The 22,103-nt window shown below is 37.4% G+C and overlaps 1 protein-coding gene and 1 pseudogene across 3 annotated transcripts in view, besides 4 other annotated features; both read right to left on the bottom strand.

Annotated features, from left to right (window-relative positions):
* Positions 1-21,292, bottom strand: part of PRKACB (protein kinase cAMP-activated catalytic subunit beta) — a 160,420-nt gene extending 139,128 nt beyond the window's left edge. For all 3 annotated transcript variants that reach the window (NM_002731.4, NM_001375576.1, NM_207578.3), the window contains exon 1: positions 21,000-21,292. In NM_002731.4, the coding sequence (NP_002722.1) occupies positions 21,000-21,045 (46 nt within the window). In that variant the 5' untranslated portion in view covers positions 21,046-21,292. The remainder of the gene's footprint in view (positions 1-20,999) is intronic.
* On the bottom strand, positions 12,404-13,696 carry TXN2P1 (TXN2 pseudogene 1; annotated as a pseudogene).
* Positions 20,852-20,931: a silencer, noted in NCBI's record as "silent region_1015". NCBI's record gives its function as "represses an Ori minimal core promoter by ATAC-STARR-seq in GM12878 lymphoblastoid cells {active_cell/tissue: GM12878}" and the evidence as "EXISTENCE:reporter gene assay evidence [ECO:0000049][PMID:35858748]".
* Positions 20,992-21,041: an enhancer, noted in NCBI's record as "active region_1246". NCBI's record gives its function as "activates an Ori minimal core promoter by ATAC-STARR-seq in GM12878 lymphoblastoid cells {active_cell/tissue: GM12878}" and the evidence as "EXISTENCE:reporter gene assay evidence [ECO:0000049][PMID:35858748]".
* Positions 21,197-21,722: an enhancer, noted in NCBI's record as "NANOG-H3K27ac-H3K4me1 hESC enhancer chr1:84543332-84543857 (GRCh37/hg19 assembly coordinates)". NCBI's record gives its function as "activates a minimal SCP1, AML or CMV promoter by ChIP-STARR-seq in naive H9 embryonic stem cells {active_cell/tissue: H9 hESC(naive)}" and the evidence as "EXISTENCE:reporter gene assay evidence [ECO:0000049][PMID:30033119]".
* Positions 21,232-21,621: a silencer, noted in NCBI's record as "silent region_1014". NCBI's record gives its function as "represses an Ori minimal core promoter by ATAC-STARR-seq in GM12878 lymphoblastoid cells {active_cell/tissue: GM12878}" and the evidence as "EXISTENCE:reporter gene assay evidence [ECO:0000049][PMID:35858748]".

Genomic DNA, 22,103 nt, shown 5'->3' with positions numbered 1-22,103 from the left:
CATACTACTATGTCTTCGACTATACAACATTAATTAAAAACTCATGCCATTAAAATGCACTGAATATATTATCCTTTTACCTGAAAATTACATTAAGTTAAAAATTAAAGTTTTAAAAAGTACTTTGCTAAAATATTTTGTAAAATTTTTAAACAGGTATTGTACTTATATTTCTTACTATACTTAACACTACAAATAAAATTGGATTATTTGTAGTTAATTGAAGATATACACATTCATCGAATATGTATATCCTCTAACCTTTCTAATACAATATCTAAATTCATTTAATATGTACATTCCCACCCTACCCTGTCTTAGCCATTGACTCCAAAGATCATACCCTTAGCCCATTTCATTCTACCCTTTCTCTCTAACCATGTTCTATCTTTTTAGCTCACTCTCTTTTAAGATCTCAACTTCAACAATCTTTAAACCTTACCAGGATCTCTAATCCTTTTCAGGATCCTTGATACCCCAAATATTATCTTTTTTCCTCCTTAAAATGCACAAATTCCAAAGCCGAGCATTATAATCACTTCCAGCATACATTTTCAGCCACTTGCCTCTCTCTCGTTTTGTCTATACTTGCTTGGCAAAACCAGAACCCTGGTGAAATCTCTATACCTACACTGTGCCTGCACTTGTGCAGCTGGGTAAGACTGGAGAAAAACAAACTACTCTTAACTTTTTATGATTTGAAGTTCATAACCAGAAACCTCAAGAGTATATTTACTGTTATCTGGCAATCATATTGTACTCCCCTAGTCCATCCAATCTCCCACTCTTCTAGATGACTTTTATACCTTCTCCTCTTTACCAAACTTCCAACACTTTTCCCATAATTCTTCCTCACAACTGATAATATTGCTTTCTACTGCTCTGAGACATGCAAGCAGACCTAAATGTGACAAAGATAATAGGTCTTTTAGAAGAACAAAAGAAACTATCTTCATGAACTTGGAGTAGGCAAAGATTTGTTAAAAGGGAAACAAAATGGGCTATGTAAAAAGTTAGTACTCTCAGTATATTGAGATTAAAAGCTGTGTTCATCAAAATATATAACTAAGAGAATAAAATGCAACCCATAGACTTGGAGAAAATATTTTTATTTATATTCATAAACTATGCGTACGTATAACATTTCTGCAAAATAATAACTCCTATTTTCTTTTCCCAGTAGAAAAATAGGCAAAAGATTTAATTTAAGGTAATAGGCATTACATCTAAAAAAGGATATCTGAATAACCCAATAAGCATATAAAAACGTGTTCAACATGATTAATCATCAGGGAAACAAAAATTAAAAGCATAATTATATCCTGATATACACCCACTATGGTGGTTAATTTTATGTGTCAACTTGACTAGACTAAGGGATGCCCAGATAGCTGGTAAACATTATTTCTGGGCGTGTTTGTGAGAATGTTTCTGTAAGAGATTAGCATTTGAATCAGCAGGCTGAATAAAGAAGACCGACCTTAATAATGTGGATGAGCATTATCCAATGTATTGAGGGCCTGAATATAACAAAAAGGTGGAGAAAGGGCAAATTCGCACGTTTTGTTTTTGTTTTTGTTTTTTCTTTTCTTTTAAGACTGGAATATCTACCTTCTCCTGCTATTGGACGTCAGTGCTCCTGGTTCTTTGGTCTTCAGACTCAGCCCAGGACTTAAACCATTTTCTCTCCCCTTTCCTCAGGTCTTTGGACTTAGACTAAGTTACAGCACCAGGTTTCCTGGTTCCCCAACTTGATTATATGACTTATCAGCCTCCATAATCATGAGTCAATTTCCATAATAAGTATATATGTATGTAAGAGGAGATTTATTATAGAAATAATCTTTCTCCCCACACACACCCCTCCTATTGGTTCTGTTTCTCTGGAGAACCCTTATTAATACACACACCAAAATGGCTAAAACAAAACAATACCTGTCAATACCAAGGATGGTGAAGATGTGGGGCAATGGAAACTCTCCTACACTGCTACTGTGAGTGCAAATTGGTATAACCTCTTTCGAAAACAGTTTGATAGTATCTACTAATGTAGATACTATCTACTAATGTATCTACAGATACATATACTTTATGACAGTATTCCATTTATAGGTATATACCTAACAGAAATGAGTATAGGTGTGTATGAAAATGCACAAAAATGGTCAACAATGTTCACAGAAGTTCTAGTCATAATAGTCCCAAACTGGAAAACAACCCAATTACCATCAAATGTAGAAAGAAAAAATAAATTGTGTATTCACACCATGGAACACTATACATTAACAAAAAGTAAAGAACCCTACCTTCAGCAACAGGACTAAATTTTGCAAACAATGTTGAAATTAAAATCCCAGATATAAAACAGTATAATTGTTATTCTACTTAAGTAAAGCTCAAAAACAGGCGAAACTAATATATGGTGACAGAAATAAGAATAGTGGTTACATCTGAGGGAAGCATGCTTATTGACTCTGGAGGGACAAGGGAACCTTCTAGAATGCTGTTAATTTGCATATATTGATCTAGTCACGATTATATGAGGAATTCATTTGTAAACCCTCTTCAATCTATAAGCTTAAAAATGTGCACACTTTATACTATGATTCATTGCACAGATTTACAAAAAGAAAAAATACTATCAAGGGATTTCTGCTTCAATAAAGTGATATATAAAAAAAACTCTTGTTAAAATAACATAAATATTGGTAGAAATGGGGTAAGAGTTGTTTGAAAGTATTAGCAAAGGAGTCAGCAGGTTTTGAGGAACACCAAGGTCCTGAAAAGATGGGAAATGATTAGAGATCAAGATTCTTTACAGCTTTTGCCCTCAGGGCATTTCCTCAATTGGTAGAAAGGACATGCAAAAAGCTAAGGCTCAAATATTCAACATTACACTTGGCTGACAAGGGAAAAAAATGGAATTCAGAGACTTTAGGGCCAAGAAACCAGAAATAAAAATCCCAACATTCTGTACTACTTTTTCTTCTTGAAGCATTCAGATGTTTAAGATACCTAAGGCATGACACTAAAGAACAGATAGTGAGAAGCACCTTTTTAGGAGATTAGAAAACTAAGCAAATATTTCAGTAATCTCACAGTGAGGAAAGAAAAATTGAAGTTCAGGGCTAGCATGAGGTAGGGCCCTGATAAACACCACCAGGCCTTCAGTCAAAACCACTGAAAGGCTCCATCGATAGGAGTAAGAATAGGAAATAGACCAAGCCTCACAAAGACTGAGAACAGCCAACAAGTCATCTTAATTGTTGATGGATCAACACAATCTGACCCAACTCTAACCATCAGCCAAAATAAGTCCTCTCTTAAGAAATATAACATGATACAAAATACATTCAATTAAAGATTCCTAGGCATGCCAAAAGATAAGACCAAATAACCAAAAATAAGAGAACAAACATACCATAGAAAAACACACTGGTAATAAAAATTGTAAATTCAGACATGAACTTTAATATAGCTATGATTAATTTGTACAAAAATATAAATGAGTAGAAAAATTTACAAGTAGAAACTCAAAAATCAACTGGAAAATCTAGAGATTAAAAATATAATAATTGAAATTATATATCAGAAATTTTACATATACATGTAATTGGTATCTCAGAAGAATAGGAAAGAAAAGACGGGATAGAGGCAACATATTAAGATATGCTTATTGAAAACTGTCTTAAATAAATGAAACATTTTGAGCCATGATTCTAAAAAGTTGCAAACAGAAAGTAGGGGGAATAAAATCACCTAGGCATATTGTGAAACTGCTGAAAACCAAAGGCAAAGAGAAAATCTCAAAGCAACCAAAGAAAAAAAAAGATATACTACCTTCATAAAGCAACACTGAGACTAACAGCTGATTTCTCAACAAAACAATGGAAAACAAAACATGATGAAACATCTTCAAAGTGTTCAAAGAAAGTAATTCTCAACCTAAAATTCCATACTTATAAAATATATCCTGAAAAAGTGAAGGTAAAAAATACACAAATCCAGATAAATAAAAACTGACATAATTCATCACTAGGACACCTTTACACAAGACTTATTTATGGCACAAGTAACTTAGACCAGAGAATGCATGAAGGAATAAGCGCAAAAAAAAAAAAAACAGCAAATATGGGATAAATATAAATATTGAGGGCCCTGAACAATAATAATAATGCATGATGGAGTGTTAAATACAGTCATGTGTCACTTAATGCCAGGGATACATTCTGAGAAATGTGTCATTAGGCAATCTCGTCACTGTACGAACATCATAGAGTGCACTTACATAAACCTAGATCGTATAGCTTACTACATATCTAAGCTATATGGATAGCCTATTGCTCCTAGGCTACAATCCTATACTGCATGTTACTAACTGAATTCTGTAGGCAGTTGTAATACAATGGTATTTGTGTATCTAAACATATAAAAAGTACATTAAAAATGAAGTAGTATAATTTTTGGAACCATGATTGTATATTCAGTATGTTTTTGACTGAAATGTTGTTACATACCACATGACTGCAATTAGTAAAAATAATATTGAATCACACCAGAAGTAAAATAAGTCCTCTCTAAAGAAATATAACATGATACAGAATACCTTGAATTCAGTGTGAATTAATTGTCTTAGTGTGTGTATGTGTATGTGTGTGTGAGAGAGAGTACATGTAGGCAACGAAAGCAGAATAGACAGTCTCTTCAAAAGTCATTGGAACATTTACAAATGACTACTGTATATGGCTATAAAGGTGACCCATAAGGCAAGTATCAACAAACTTCAAAGAACTGAAATCATTCCAAACATGTTCTCTGAACACAGTGAAACTAAGCTAAAAACCCCCAAATATTTGAAAACTAACCAATGTAGCCATTAGTCAAAGAAAAAACAATGGAATAATGATAAAAAGAAAACACACTGAGACATTTTAGCAAACCAAATTCACTATTACATTAAAAAAGGATATGAAATGGACAATATATTGCAACCAGAATGGGTTTATTCCAGGTATGCAATATTAATTTAAGATTCAAAACTCACAGACGCAGAAATAACATTTGATAAAATTAAATACCCATTCTCAAAGGAAAAATAATTAGCAAACCAGGAATAGAAGAAACCTTCCTTAAACAGATAACAGGATATCTTAAAAATTTTCTGCCTGGTTCCAAAATATTGAAAGCTTTCCAGTGACACCAGGAATATGACAAGTGTGGCTGTTATCATGATTTCTATGTACTACTGTATTGCAAGTCCTAATCAGTGCAATAAGGCAAAAAAAATGTATAAGGACTAAAAGGAAAAAACTTACACTGTCAAAATTAAGCAAAAAAGTGATTTGTGTATATGTAAAATCTAAATGTATCTATAAATAACTTACAGTTAATAAAATTAGCAAGATCACTAGATAGGTCAGCATAAAATTTCTAACCCTATGCTTATATACTCACAATGAAAAATTAGAAGATAAAACTTTGACACTGATACCCTTTATAGTAACAAAAAAGCATGTGAAACTAAGAATAAATGTAATTTTTAAAATTATATTTAAAATTTAAACAGCATATTACAAAGCACTACTAAAAGAAGTTACAGAATATTACAAAGATTACTAAAAGAAGTTAAAGTAGATCTAAATAAATGGACTTAAAAATTCAATATCATAAAGATGAAAATTCTTCTCAAACTACTATATATTCAATGCAATCTCAAGATTCCTATAAGGTTCGTGTATATAATTATGTATGTGAAAATTGACAAGCTGATTTAAAAATAAAGAATATTCAAAATTTTTGTAAAATATGAAGTTTTAGGATTTATACTACTGATTATGATGACTTCTATTATAAAGTTATATGAATTCATGCAGTTTTGTACTGACACTAAAATAGACAAAACCAATGGAACAGAAAAGAAGGAAACCAGATATATTCAGCCTTTGATAACAAAGATGTCATTACAGTGCTTTGGGGAAGGGACAATTTCTTTTTCCTTTTAAATGGTGATGTGTCAAATAAATACTGATATTAACAAATGACTCCTACCTCACCACACACACACAGAAGCGCATACACAGAGAGAGAGAGAGAGAGAGAGATGCACACACTTGATTCCAGACAGACTGTAGTTCTAAATATGAAAGGCAAAAGAAAGCTTCTAAACCTAACATAGGAAAATATCTATGACCCTAGGGTAGTGAGAACTTCTTAAAGAAGACCGAGGAAGGCCAAACAAAACACAAATCATAAAGGAAATGATTTGTAAATTATTTGTACGTTTGAAAATTATTAAACAGTATGAAGGAGACATCGTTAAGAAAGTGAAAAGGCAAGCTATGAAACGGAAGAAGACATTTGTAGTACATACGTCTGGGGGGAAAATCCTGTACCCATGTTAAATAACTCTACAAATCAATTTTTTTGAAAAATACAACAGAATACCACAAAAAAAGGGATGGGGAAATACCTGAAAAAAAAAAAAACATTTTATAAAAAGAGGATATCCAAATGACCAATACCAACATGAAAAAGTGATCAACACTATCAGTCATAAGGGATGTACAAATTATAACCAGGAAATGTTTACCAGAATAGGTATAATTAGAAATATGAAAAACATCAAGTTTGGGAAGGATGTGGAGCGACTAAAACCCTAAGCACTGCTGGTTAGAAACAGGTTCAACCAATCTGAAAATTTATTTGGTGGTATTTACCAGAACCACATGATCTGTGACCCAGAAATCCAGCAATTAATTCAACATCATTCTCTCTCACGCACACACAAAGACACATATGCATGTATATATGCATGTATGTATGAGTGTATACATAACACATATTCATCAAATACATATTCACCAAAACATACATATATTTACCAAAAATCATGTACAAGTGTGTTCAAAGCATTATTTATAAGAGCTCCAAACTGGAAACAACCCAAATTTACATCAACCATAGAAAAAATATGTTTTGCTATACTTATACAATGATATATATCTGTGAAAATTAATAAATCACTGCTATGACAAAAACATGGATAAGTGTCACAAATACATAAGTGAAAGAAGGCAGTCACAAAGGAAAACATGATGCAGTATTCCACATTTTAAATCTAGCAATGATTGGGTACAGGCAGGAGGGAAGTTTCTGGGGTTTCAGTAATATTCTATTTCTTGGTATGGGTGAAAATTCACATGGGTGTTCACTTTATCAAATTCATTAGCCTATAAATTAGGATTTGAATACTTTTGAAATGTATGGTATACTTCAATTAAATTTTTACTTGAAAATAGTACTACTGTAACATAGTTTCTCAATTCTACTACACAGAATATTATAAAGTAGATTACGACAAAAACCAATCATAACAAAAACCAAAAAAGTTTCCTTCTGCCCACTCTACCTCCACTATGGCTCCCACTGTTATTGTTACAGATATCACTGCGAAAAAACATTTGAAGATTTTTGGGTCACTGATGCCCCTGAGTACAATAAAGATTAAAGATAAGAAGTCATTAACGTGTTTATTTCTCATGCTAAACTTGTGTGAGTAATAGAACAAGAAGGTTGTGGTGGCTTACGCCTGTAATCCCAGCACTTTGGAAGGCTGAGGTGGGTGGATCGCTTGAACCCAGGAGTTCAAGACCAGGCCGGGCAACATGGCAAAACCCCATCTCTACCAAAAATACGAAAATTAGCCAGGCAGGGCGGCACACACCTGTAGTCCCAGCTACTCAGGAGGCTAAGGCGGGAGGGATCACCTGAGATCAGGAGGCAGCAGTTGCAGGGACTCATGATCACACCACTGCACTCCAGCCTGGGCAACACAGCAAGACCCTGTCTCAAAACAACAACAACAACAAAAACCAAAAAAACAAGAAAGTTAAATCTAATCATAAAGAACCAAGAAATTGTTAGGTCAAAGATTCTAAAGGTATTTAGAAATTAGGTTCTTATATATTAAACCAGGTTGTGCATGTAACCCAGTTTGACATTTTTTATGTTGTTACATACTTCATATAACTTCAAGTTAATACTTAAATATTAATATGCAGACCACAACATTCAAACATGTTATATTCTAAAAGCTGATTAAGTTCTCTGTAACCTGATTGTAAGTAACTATAATACAGCAAGAGCAGAAAAAGAACATTTTTCTCTTTCTTCTTTCTTCTCGTCTCAGGTTTTACCCAAGACACATTAAAATTACCTGCCTGGGCACCAAAGTCAACTGATTTGATCACACATACTGTAAATCACAGGCCAGTTCACTTTAGTAGGTGAGCGATGAGAAAGGGAAAGAGAAAGTAGGGTCAAAGAGAAAACTGAAAGTGAAGGGAAAAGGGGTACACGTTTTTTAAATAAATGAGAAGACATATTATTATACATATAAAAGATAAGAATACAAAGACTCCTGGGAAAGCAGGAGGGGTTGGGATCCAAAGTAATAGTGGAGTGATTGGGCTTGCAGAGAAAGATGTACAATGTGATTTCTACATGTCCCCAAATTTTTCTAACTCCTTCCATCAAAGTGCAGAATCTAATTCAACTTCCCTTGATACAGACTCATTTAAGTGACTCACTTAACAAACAGAATGCAGCTGAAGTGACACTGCTTGACTTTGGAGGCTAGGTCATAAAAGGTGATACAGCTTATACCTGGCTCTCTCCCTCCTTCTTGGAACTTAGCCACATGATATGGGGCCCAAGCCACATGTAGAGGTCATGTGTAGGTGCTTCAGCTGACAGTCCCAGGTAAGGTTCAAATTACCTGTACAGCCAGCATCAACAGGGAAACATGTAAATGAGCAAGGCTTCATGTGTTTCTAGTCCCCATAAACCATAGCAGTGATTTATTAGCAGAGCTAAGATAGCTGATGTCATATAGAGTGCATAGCTGAGCTCTGCCCAAATTACTTACTTTCATAAGTAAAATAAATGTTGTCACTCTTTAAGCTGCTAAATTTAGGAGTCCTGCATGATGGAACAATAGATAAATATAACAGACAACTCCTCTATTATAACAGAATAAGATGGTCAAGTTAAAATACAGTAGGTGTGAACATTTAATAGGAAGAAGTTAAAGGGGTTCCTGTCTGATAGCTTTTATTTTCCTTGTAAAATATGACATAATATCATGACTTAGAATGAGAGAGATAATGGAGAAGTCAGAGGTATAAAGAGAGAGAAATGAAATAGAACTTGTGAAGAATGAGAGACAGAGTTGATCAGAGAAATGTGGTAAAACTGTAAAGTCATGTTGACAGCTCATTTGAGGTTGATGATAGTAAATTTCTAGTGTTCTTCTGTGCAGCTTTCTCTAGCAGTGCTTAGCTCTTGACTGAAAGCACTGAGAAAGCACATAGCTGAGTTTATCATGAGTTACATTTTTGTTAGAGAGATTTGATAAAGAGGCAGATGTGCAAAGGAATTTTGGGACCAAGTAATCTAGAATGGTTAAGAAGAAAAAATGAAAGTGAGAGGACTGATGGATAAATGGATGAGAGGTTCTGATGAAGAATGATCATAATGGGAATATTTAAAAAGCAAGCAAAAAGGAGAGGAAATTGTGATCAAAGAATCACACACATTGGTGATTCTTGAGCAGTTAATGAATATTACAAGGTCTTTGGCAAGACTAGACATCTGAATGAACAAAAGGGGAATAGGAGATAACATGGTCAAAGAACAGAGGTGCAGTGATGATAGATGAGTCATTAACATAGAATTTGAAACCATCCAGGATGAATGCAGAGCTTAGAGTATAGAGAAACATTGTGGGCCAGATGCCAAAATATTTGATGAATAAGAAGTAAGCAAGAGACTGGTAAATGACAGCAACAAGGATGAGAAACACAGTGGCACAGTTGAATGATACATGCCTTGAATAACAAATTTTTCAAAAGGTTGGGAGCATAATACTCTAGTTTTTCCTAGTCCAGTGTCTTCTTCCTACCTGCCTGAGACCAATCTCCCCATACCAACTGTGATATAATTTTGATATGTAAATGTCAAAGAAGTTACTATATACCATAAAAAGGGGGGAAAGAGGTACCCTCTTATCACATTAATCAACTATTATCCCCAAATAGTCAATACATTACTGACAAAGTTCCTGCCAATGGAGGAAAGGGAGGAGGATGTACGCTTCTACAGGAGGTTTGAATTTTTGATCCATTTAACTATCCATGATTTTAGCTTCCACCATGACATGAGCCAAGAACTGTGCCACATTCCAGAGATTAAAACACTAAACAACATAGACACTGCTTTGCCAGATCACACTGTAGTGGGTATAAGAGTTGAAAAAGCAATGTAGTACAAGTGCTACAATTATAGATGTAAATATTTCCAAAATGGACTCAAAGGAAGTTTCCATTTCAGTCAGTTTCAGTCTATTTCCCAAGATGATCTCAGAAATTCTATACTACTCCTCTATAAACTCCTATGCTACATTTTCACCCTAGTATTAATCTCAGGCACCTATGTATCATTGTATGCCTTACTATAAATATCTGTATCTGTCTCCCAATTTAAGGACAGGAACCAAGTCTTATTTTTATTTGCATCTACAGACTAGCATAGTGCCTGGTTTAAAGTAGGCGCTCAATAAGTACTGATTAAGAATGAATGAAAGACAAATAAGTGAATGTTTTGCCTGTCATTCTATGAATTGAACTATGGCTTATTCATGACCTAAAGACTACAGCCTAAAGTGAGGCTCATATTCTTCCACAGTTTAACCTGTCATGGCTCCTACTCAGAGGGAGCTGAGCTAAGATTGAAAGAGCTAAGTTACCAGTAGAGCTAGCCCCTGTAAAAGAAGTAATATCTATACCAACATGTTCTCTCAAGTTTGTGGCTCACATATAACAATGGCCTGCTGATGCTATATGGTCATCTACTTAAGAAGAATACAGTATAGAAATGGAATATTCATTTTACTAAACAGGACTCTAAACTAATATGATCACAAGAATAGTCTCTTTAATTTTCTAAGGACAAAGTCCAGATCGAGAAAACAGGCTTGTCAGAGACCTAAAGGTTTAGATTCCACAGTTATCTTACAACAAAACAAGTTTCAGATGTCCCTGAAAAGTTAACATATGAATAGAAGACAACAGTGAATATAACATTAAACTATGGCCATAGAGCCTGGGACTTTATACCTTGTTACATCAGGCCAGATAAAAAATATGGCATCTACATTGGATTTTCGAAGGCAGAACTAATACCAATTATGCTAGTGTATCAATTTAACTTATAAGAATCCCGAATTTGATTCGGAAAATTTTCTGCATAGATACATAGCATTACTGAATCTAATTCACATTACAAAAAAACACGTCCTATAATCCACTTCCTACAACATTCTCATAATTGTGCTTTTACTTGTCTAAATCTTTTACCAGACTATAAGCTACATGAAGACAACTCTTTACTCCCTATTTCACTGGCTAGGGAATAAAAATGAACTAAATGAATAAATTAATTATAGCCAATTAAAATAAAGAAATCCACTAAAAGCAATTTAAGCTATACCACCATATCGGGGAAACAATTTATTTGCATAATAGTAGTAAACCTTAGTATTAGCAAGAAGAAGACTTATCTTATAAATACTGATGATTCTTTTGGAAAGTGCTGGGGGCTAGAGAGATTATAAAACCTATCAAGAGTAAAAAAACAAGCCTCGATGGTACACACCTGCAGTCCCAGCTACGCAGGACTGCCTGAGCCCAGGAGTTTGAGTCCAGCCTGGGCAACACAGTAAAACTCTGTTTCAAAATAAATAAATAAAAATAAAAAATTATTTTAAAGAGTAAAAAAGCATTATCTAGCTTTTGAAATTGCTAAAAATACTACCTGAATTTGTAAACACATGTTTCACCTTTAAACATAAATGACTAATCAGTTAAATACATTTATTGTCTAAGCCCAGTCTATATCAAGGTTTTACGATAATTCATTTTACTTGTTCTACAGCTAGCTTTTATAAGTTTGGAAGAATAGTCCATGAGTTCTAGTGTTTCAAGTTTAGGTGAGCAATCCCAGATTTTCTGTCTATGCCACTTGATTTTATACACTTTAATCATGTAACTTTAATTTTTCTAGATTAAATGAAATATGTATATATACAGTTTATTCACACAGAATAGACTTCCCATGCTCTTACTCCTGTTAGCTGCCCTGATCTAAACTTTCTCTGGTTCTGCTATACACAAAACACCACAACTACACATAGCACATTAATGGTTTCACATAAGAATAGAATGTTTCATGTTTTATTTCCAAGACTCTGCCCTGATGGCGAACATTTTGATGGCTCCTTTACTTGTAGTAGAACATGAAAATATCTTCAAAGATCAGTACAGTGATTCATAAATTTGTCTTTTTAGGTGCAGACCCTTGCTTTATTGTCTGATTTGTTCACAGTTAAGCCCCCTGCTCAGAGGACCAACAGGCCAGTTAAGGGGCAAAGGAGGTGCCTCGAGCCTTACAGAGTCAAGGCTCTCCAGGGCTCCCCAGCCCACCACTCATTTTCTGTGCCCCCTGCCCGGGAGGCTAGCTGGGAGGGGGCTCCCTGAGGGGTGAGGATGGGCAACTACAGGGGATTTGAGTGTGGGACCCAGGGTCTGCTCTTCACAGTAGGAGGTGGGATGACTAAGTTCTTTATTACAGACCTACAAAAACCGAGAGAGTTATAAATTATTCTCACTAGTTTGGGCTTCTTTTTTCTTTTTCTTTTTACAAAACAGCAGCAAGAAAGAGAAATGCAGGTGGCAGAAGAGCCAGGCACGAGGCTTCAGATCGGAAGGGACCAGAGATGAGGACCAAGGTGTGGCTGCCTGACCAGGAGTGCTGTGGGCTGGCCTGGGCTCTCTCTATGCATCTTGAGAGAACTGCCACAGGCCCTAGAGGGAGGGGACGAAAGGCATGTGGGAGGGAAGAAGGCAGTCCCCGGATCAGCAGCAGCACCATCTTCTGATGGCCCCTGGGCAGTCCGCCAGCTCAGAAGCACTCATGGCTGGAGCCTGGGCCCCAGGGGCCAGACAGGAGGGAGGCAGCAGGAAGGGCCAAGTTCTACTGGGGTCCCATGGGGGCAAGGGAACCAGGACTTGTCCTTGCTTGTCAGCCAATCAGCTTCTTCAGGAAGGCCTCCAGCTGATCCTCATCTTTGATGCCCACAAACTTGTCCACCACATCCCCATTCTTCATGGCCAGCACAGTGGGCACCACCAACACCTCATACTCAATGGCGAGGTCTGTGTGGTCATCAATATACACCTTGGCCATCAGCACTTTCCTATGCTGCTTGACCACCATCTTCTCTAACCTCAGCCCCAGGATCTTGCAGGGTCCACACCACTGTGCGTGGAAATCCACAAGCACTGGCGTCTCACTGTTGGTCTTGAAAGTCAGGTCCATCCTGGATATTAATGGTCATTGAGGAGATGCTGGTGGTGTATATGGTCTGGGCTGAGTTGGGTGTTACAGCCAGGCCACCAGGACTGCACTGTGGGGTCTGCAGGGCTCCAGAAGTGAGAGGTGGCCACCGATCCTGAGAGGGCTTCCTGGAGACGACTGAGGCCAGGAACCTCCTCAGGAAAAGTCACTGAGACATTTCCCTGCAGCGCAAGCAGAGGGATGCACAGCCCAGCCCTCCCTGCCTGACAAGGGCACTCCTGTCCTTTACTATCATTCCTTAAATGTAGATCAAAAGTTTTCCCTAAATACATTACCATATATTTATTTGCTCAATTGAGGATCATTTGCCACTTCTCTGCCCACACATTTTGTGAGCACTTTTTATGATTTATTCCCTCATCTTGCTGCTTCCTGTGTATTTTTTCTTTTAATAAATATAATAGAAGCATTGGATTATAAAGCTGGAAGAAGAGATCACAGTGTCATTATCCAATCCATCCCTCTTGATTTTATACCGTCACTTGGAGATTTTAAAACATTTGTCCAAAGTGAGATATTAGAATGTATTAGAAAAAAGACAATTTAGATTTTTCTTACTCTCAAGTTTATGATTTTACTACTAAATTACATCTGAACTTTTAAACATCTATGTTAAAGGACTCCAGGGGAATAAAACTGACATTTACTCAGTACATAATAGATGTTGGTGCTATATTTTACATGTTCTTTCCACTATCCTGTATAACTACAAAACCGAATAGCTTAGAGGATGCACACTTAAATTATAAAAGTAATATTTTATGATTTTAAATTACTTTGTTTCCTTAAAAGTTACATTGTTCTCATCAGTACTTTGGCTTTCCTCTTTTCAAAACAAAAAGGCTAAACTTTTAGTATATAGAATTCTTAACTTATGTAAGTTATGCCAGATGTTATAGTTTCCATAGTTTCTAAACAGTTGTCTTTGAAAAGAGTAAAATGAGGATAAAATGTAGAAAAGGTCCCTTGACCATCCAAGGGCATTTTCCCCCATGGCTGGGAGATAAAAGACAATCCACACATACAATAACCAATCAGCTATCATTTATCAGAAATGCCACGGGTATCCCGAGTTCAGTAAGTCCCCACCCCAACCCCCAATGTACTCCTGCCCTCTGTATTCATTTCCTGACTCTATTACTGGCGTTACAACCCATCTACCATGGCATTGAAGCTTAAACTTAACGTGTCATCCCCAATCCTCCTTTTCCTCATTTCCCACATGCAATCAGTACAATACATTCTGCTCAATTTTTCAAATTTCTCCCATTTCAGATCCTTTTCTCCATCCCAACCTCTACCACCTTGGTTCAGACCCTCAAAATCCCTCACCCAAATTATCATAGGAGTCTTATAATTGATCTTGCCTCTATTCCACTTGCTCCATAATGATTTATCTTCACATCACCACCAAAGTAACCTCTTTTAAACCCAAATTGTATCATGTTTCTCTCTTATTTCCAAGTGCACGATGGCTCCCTAGTGTCTAAAAGATAAAATTCAAACTCTCTCCATTATGTGGCCCTCTGTCCATTTCTTCAGTTTCATCTATCATTATACAATGTCCCCTCTTCCTATCACCAACCCCACATTCCATCATTTAATCATAATGGGCAACTTACTTCCTTATCCTGAATATGTTACATGGTTTCACTCCTCTGCATCTTCACTTATCAATGCTCGGTCTACTCAGAACACCCTTCCTCCTATAATCCATCTGATGAACATTTATCATTTTCAATGCTCAAGTCATGGTTCAACTCCTCTTTGAAGTCCTTTTTGAACCTCTTCCTCCCCATCCCAGTGGAAATGACCATTCTTTCCCTTGGTTCCCCAGCTGAACTTTAATGAAAGGATTTGTGGCAGGTTTCATGTGTTTGCTGACATGTCTATCTTCCCCCTTCTGGAATATGGGCACCCTGAGCAGGTACTCTGTCCTATTCAATCTTTATTCCCATAGTCTTGTGTAGAGTCTGTCACATTTTAGGAGCTCAATTATGTGTACTGAATAAAGGAATGAATGAAGCAATGAACAAAGAACTATACAGGACATTCTTGAAGGAATACATTTAAAAGTAAGATTAAATACCCAAAATGATAGTGACCTAAGCATATTTACCTTTCATAAATTTCACACTTTTCTATTTAACACAATGTTATTCACTAAGAATTTAGGATTTATTAATCTGAGGAAATTTGATCACCCACGTATACAAACATTTATCACCTAGATATAGAACTTCATAAGTTGTACTAATTTTTAAAAATTAATTTAATGGAATGTCAAAATGAATTATGGTCAACTATTAATTATCTGACAGGATCTTAATAGCTATCCTGGCTTATCTAGGACCTTCTCACGTGCTGCTTCTGTCACTCAGCCATGGCTTACTTTTCTAAGCTGGCTTTCATGCCTCTAATTATCCTGCTGCTGGCAATGAAAAAGCAACAATCTGTCTACAGCCTAAGTGAAGGACACTGAGGAGAATAAGAGGAGGAGAATAAGAAAAATGGTTCCTGAACATGAGATAATTTGATACAGTACACAATCTGCACAAACAGAATCACAGAATCATGGAACTCGATGAGATCATATGTATTTATCATCAAAATTGCATAACTGATTGCTTTGATTTTTTTGTCTTACACCCAAGAAAGACTTCCCCAGTACCTCTGCATTCTACAGAATTGGAACAAATATCTGCTACTGATTTTCCTTTGATAATTGAAAGGTGTAAAGACCTAAGTAAGGTATAAGAAATCACTATATTGCATTTAAATCTACAGAAATTTTTCAATAGAAGATATTCACTGAGATTACTAAAAATCACAAAATTTTATTTCTAGTACAGCCCCAAAAATAATTTAACTTTGTAGTTAATAAATTAAACACAAATTATTGAACTATAATAATTTGCTCACTAAGTTTATAAATGCTTATTCTGAGGAAATAAGTTAATTCTTAAATGAGAAAAAATAAATCCAGCATTCCGTTCATCTACACTCACTTGTAAGGATCCACAAATAACCAAGATGACAGAAAGATGGGTTGGCATTTCTATTAAATGCAAAAACAACTATGTTCTAAACCTGTGTTGTCCAATATACCAAACACTAATTAGCCACATGTAAGTTAAAGATTCAGTTTCTCAGTGGTACTAGTCACATTTCCAGTGCTCAACAGACATGTGGCTAGTAGCTACTACAGTGGACAGCATAGGTGGAGATCACTTCCATTATCACAGAATGTTTGACTGGACAGCGCTACTCTAATCATGGTGAAATGAGAATTTGCCAATACTTTTAAAATGGTAATACAAGTTCAAATAATAATTTTTTTTATCAACTATTGGGCAAGAAGGGAAAAGTATACATTTACAAATGGGAAAAAATAAATATAAGTACTGTAGTAATTAAGGCTTTAAGTACATAAAATTAGTTTTATGTGGTTTAATTTGAAATTCTACTATATTGAATCTGAAAAGATAATGATGATAAAAATCCAGAGAATGGTACAAGAAAAAAATAATCTTTTTCACTTAAGATTTTAATATACCAAATAAAGTCATGTTTGAAAACTGAAATGTGCTATAATTGTCTAAGCTATTCTGTGTGTCTTAGCATCGGCTATTCTATTGGATACAGAGGCTGTTCAGCAAAGTGGTTAGAATTTCAGGTTCTGAGGTTACAGTTGCCTCAACTTAAATGTTGCTTCTTGACTTACTAGCTATGCAACCTTAAGCAAGTCACTTAGGCTCTCTGAGCCTTCATTTCCTCATCCATAAATGAAGGAATAACTCAAGTGCTTTACAGTTTAAAAGAGTAAGTAAAAGTTTATACACGGAAAGCATTAGAGAACCTGGCACGTATTAGTCCTCAAAAAATGTTAGTTGTTAAGAAACTTGCATTTTTGTTGAACCTAGTCTACTGGTGGCTTTCTTTGATTAATTCCTACTGACTTTCAAATCCACAGGACAGAGAGATACTCTGGAAAACATTCAAAGATCATATGCGAACACTAGGTCACATGGTAACTTTACGACTTGCAGTCATGAAAGAATCTACATTCAAACCTCTACCAACACTTTTCACCCATGGGCCTCAACATTTTTGCAATGAATGTATAACACAAAGCCCCATAGGCAACCTGGAGGTATAGTATTTTTTTAAAATGAAATAAATAAAAACCCCTCCCAGGTTAAAAGAAGTAGCGTGTTTTTTTGGTGTGTTGGTGACTGGGGCTGGTGTAAAAGGAAGAGACTGGATAAGTAAAACAAACTTAACTGACAAGAGTTTAAAACTTCTCTGAGAATTTTATCATATTTCTAAAAGTTTATGTTTCTCTGTATTAGCTGACGTTTAAATAACTACGCCCAAATTTTAAAAGGAATATATCTTCAAGAGTAATTTTAAAAACACACACAGAGCAGTTAGGTATGTAATAGTACCAGTTATTCTTTCATTAAGTTTTGAGATACATCAATACAATTTCCTAATTCACTACAGCAGAACAACAGGTACCTAAGTTAATGTTATCTCCAAAACCTGTGGAGATGAAGATGGAATCTCACCTAGCTTTTAGGTCTTACCCCAGAAAATGTTAATTCTAATAGAGGGAAAAGGTTCAGTAGAGTACAATACAGGCACCAGATAGTTAAAGTTAACCAAGACCCTTCTAAATTATCTTTATGCCTAACTTCATTCTTCTGGAATATTTTTAGAAATAAGCTCTGGAATCACCTGCCTTTCTGAAGCTTGGTGCTAACTGAACCTGAAATCTTAACTGACTTGATATTTTTAATCAACTTTTCAAATCAAACATTTTCATACAGCAATTTTCAGAGTTCTAATTCCACTTTCCATAATGTTAGCACTTGTATTTTTGCCTTTCAGGTAACTCTTATATATACATATTTTCTTTCCCATTAGACAGTAACATTTTTCAGCTTTTACTTATAGTCTTTAATTGAAACTAAAACATTTGGTGAATATTTTGAAAATAAACATATTAACTGATTATTTATTGATGCTGAATGGAGTCCAGGCATCAGACTCTATTCCTTACTCTGTTATTACTAACAGTATGATCTCAACTCCAGCTTCTTCGGAGGTCAGGATCTTTGAAAGGGAATGATTGTACAGGCTGATCTCTAACATCATATATTTCTAAAAGTTTTGAAAAACAAATTTTCAAGAATAATTCTTTAAAAAATACACAGAACATTTAGGTACGTAATGATGAGTTCTTTCATTAAGTTTAAAATACAATTTCTTTGTTCACTACAGAACAGCAACATATACCTGATAACACTGCTCCAAATGAAATTACAAACATTAATCAACACGTGACATTTCAAATAATTTTCCCTATGACACATAACATGCTATTTTTTTTGGTCACTTCACAACAGCTTTTTAAACTACTATAATGACCTTCAGTTTCCATAAATAAAGTTACACAAAAAGCTGACTAACATACTTAAGAACTAGATTGTCATTAACACTTAAAACATAGAAAAGAATTTATCCATAGAAATAATTTAAATATGTTCAGATAAACATTTAAAGTTTCCATTCTGTTTTCAGTAAATATTCCAAGGTTATTTCACAGCTATGAGTTGCAAATTAATACTAAGGGAGAATTGTTTTGGTAACTTAATAAAAAATATACAGGTCACAGAAGAGTCTATTATCATTATCCAAAATATAAACATTATACAGGTCAGCACTTGCTAATGAAAACTACTAATATAATCATTCTCCAAGCACACTCTTTTGTAACACAATTAGCATGTTTTAAGTTAATAGAGCTTTAAATTAACACAAAAAATGACAACATATCAGGTAAAAATAATTCTTTATACTTTTTGCATTCTTTATACTTCCTGCACAGTTAGTTACTATATTTGTGCAATTTTAAAAAGACAACATAGGTCACGCACGGTAGCTCACGCCTGTAATCCCAGCACTTTGGGAGGCCGAGGTGGGTGGATTACCTGAGGTCAGGAGTTCGAGACCAGCCTGACCAACATGGTGAAACTCTGTCTCTACTAAAAATACAAAAATTAGCCGGGTGTGGTGGTGGGCACCTGTAATCCCAGCTACTCAGGAGGCTGAGGCAGGAGAATCCCTTGAACCTGGGAGGCAGAGGTTGCAGTGAGCCAAGATTGCACCATTGCACTCCAGCCTGGGCGACAAGAACGAAACTCCATCTCAAAAAATAATAATAAAATAACATACATTCTACCTCTACATTGGCTTCTTTAAATCTCCGTATAACATGCTGTGTGTTCTTGGCTTATATAATAGCTCATCAAACTTTTCTGAAGCTCCTGAAAATGAATACCAAAACCTTACTGATGAAACATAAACCACATAATCTGATATATTTATGTTAAACAAAATGAATGACTAAATCCTTCTAAATGAATTCTACTTTATTAATACAGAAAAAAGCTATTTTCTTCATGCAAAGTTATAAAATTAGCCTAATTCTTATGTTACAACCATGAAAACATTACAAGTAATATTTACACAAACTAAAATCACCAGGCCCACTTTAAGTGCTAACATGTCATTCACTCCTGGTGATATAACAAATACCATCTGTTATTTGGACATTCTGAATTATAAAAATATATGAACTTTACAAAGGCAAACCAACTTTTATTTCACAACCATTCTGACACATATATACACACATATATATGCATGTGTATACATGCACACACAAACACACAGACACACACACACCTTATCGCCATACAGAAATTCCATTTTCATGATTTTTTACTGTTTGATGTAAAGTGTGGAGTACCCGCACCTTCCGCTCTCAGAAGAAATTAACCGTGTTCTGGAAGCACTTCAACTCCGAATGACCTTTAAGTTTTACAGGCATTGGTAGCAGATCCTTGAATGTCTAGAGAAAAGGCAAACCTGCCTGGCTTTTTTCTCTAATGGATAAAGTTGCTGTTGGGTCTCATTATGTTTTCCATTCCTAATCTGAAGAGATGAAGGATCTCTAAGGCAGGGTTGTCCACTCAGGATTAGCCTCACTTGCGTAGAGCCAGACTAGCAGCCCCCGCCTTGTGATAAGGTTGGGTCGGACCCAAGTGATGGAGGGAGAAGAGCCAACCTTACCCACAGCACTACCTGTAGCTCCCAAAGAGTCGGCGAGGGGGGAAAGCAGGGGTGGGATGGCACTAGGGACTTCTTTCCTCGGACCATATTTGGGGAAGTGTTCCAGAACGTGTGCAAGTCCTCCTCGCTAGAGTGAGAAAGGGAATCCCAGGGAACGCTCTTCCCAGGATCCCCACATCCGGCCCTTCGCGTTCAGCTCTCAACGCGGAGCTGGGGGGTCGGAATGGAGGAGAAAGGCAGCTGGTCTCCCGGCCCCCCAGAACGACTCCCGGCGGCCGCTGCTAGGCCTGGCCCGTGCCCGCGGCCTCAGAAGCTGCGACCCGGAGGGCGCTCGGTGCCCCGCGCCGGCCCGCCCAGCGGATACCCAGACCCGGCCTTCAACTCACCGCTCTCCACCTCGCTGCCTTTCTTGGCGGTCGCCGCGTTCCCCATGTCTGGGGCGATGGCAAGAAGGGGTCAGGGAAGGGAAGGGGGGCTGGGGCCGTGCCCGCCACTCCACAGTCTGGGACAACTCCCGCGTCTGCACCCGTCAGAGCGGTGAGTGCGCCTAGCGCTGGCGCCAGGAGTCCGGGCGCGAAGACCGGGCCGGGTCTGAGGAAAGGGCTCCAGCGAACTCCTTAGCACCGGCAGCAGCAGCGGCGGCGGCGGCGGCGGCGGCGACGGCGGTGGCAGCAGCAGTGGCGGCGGCGGGCAGACACTCCCCCTTCGCGCGGTCCGCCCTCTCTGCGCGCCCCCGGGCAGCCGCGCGCCCAGGCCAGGCCCTGGCCCGACTGTATCTTCGCAGGCGGGCGCGCGCGCCGGAAGTGACGCGCAGGCCCGGGACCCCGGGGGCGGGCGGTGGACCCCCAGCTGGCAGAGCCTGGGGCGGGGGCCTGAGGTGGCGTGGACCGCTTCTTCCCCCGCGGTCGCCCGGGCTGGCGCTCGCGTGCCCATCGCTGAGATAGTGGGAGGTGGAGTGGGAACCGCTAGCTTTGCAGAACGCAGAGTCCCTCCTCACCCTGGCGGTCCCGGTGCCCTGGAGTGCAGTCGCGGAATACTGTTCAGCGGCTCGGGTGGTTTTCCTTGCGTCCCGCCACGCGGCGGCTCCTCACTAAAAGGCTGCCTTCTCCCCACAGCTCCAGGTCCGAGAGGAGCCGCACCGTCGGGTTGGAGATCGCGCGCAAGGGTGGCCTCTGGGTCTGCATCTGCCCCGCATCGGCCACAGGAAAAGCCTGGTCCCTAGGCACGGTCGTGGTTCGAGCTTTTCGTTCTCTCGCACATTGAGGTATTCGCTCAGCCCACCACGTTGTCCTCGGGGTTATTAGGCCCCAGTCACAAGCCCTATGATGTTTTCAGACTTCCCAGGTGGAGATAAAGGAAAATTTTACTATTTCTGCAGAACTTCTGTTGATGTACAGCATTGTATTTAGCAACTTCTGTGTAGATCTGAAAATAAATACATTACCAATTGTTAGTTGCGTTTTTATTAATATAAATCTTAGAGTACTTGA

This window comes from Homo sapiens, chromosome 1 (genome assembly GCF_000001405.40).
Source record: "Homo sapiens chromosome 1, GRCh38.p14 Primary Assembly".
NCBI lineage: Eukaryota > Metazoa > Chordata > Mammalia > Primates > Hominidae > Homo > Homo sapiens.
This window is presented reverse-complemented; position numbering and strand designations above follow the sequence as displayed.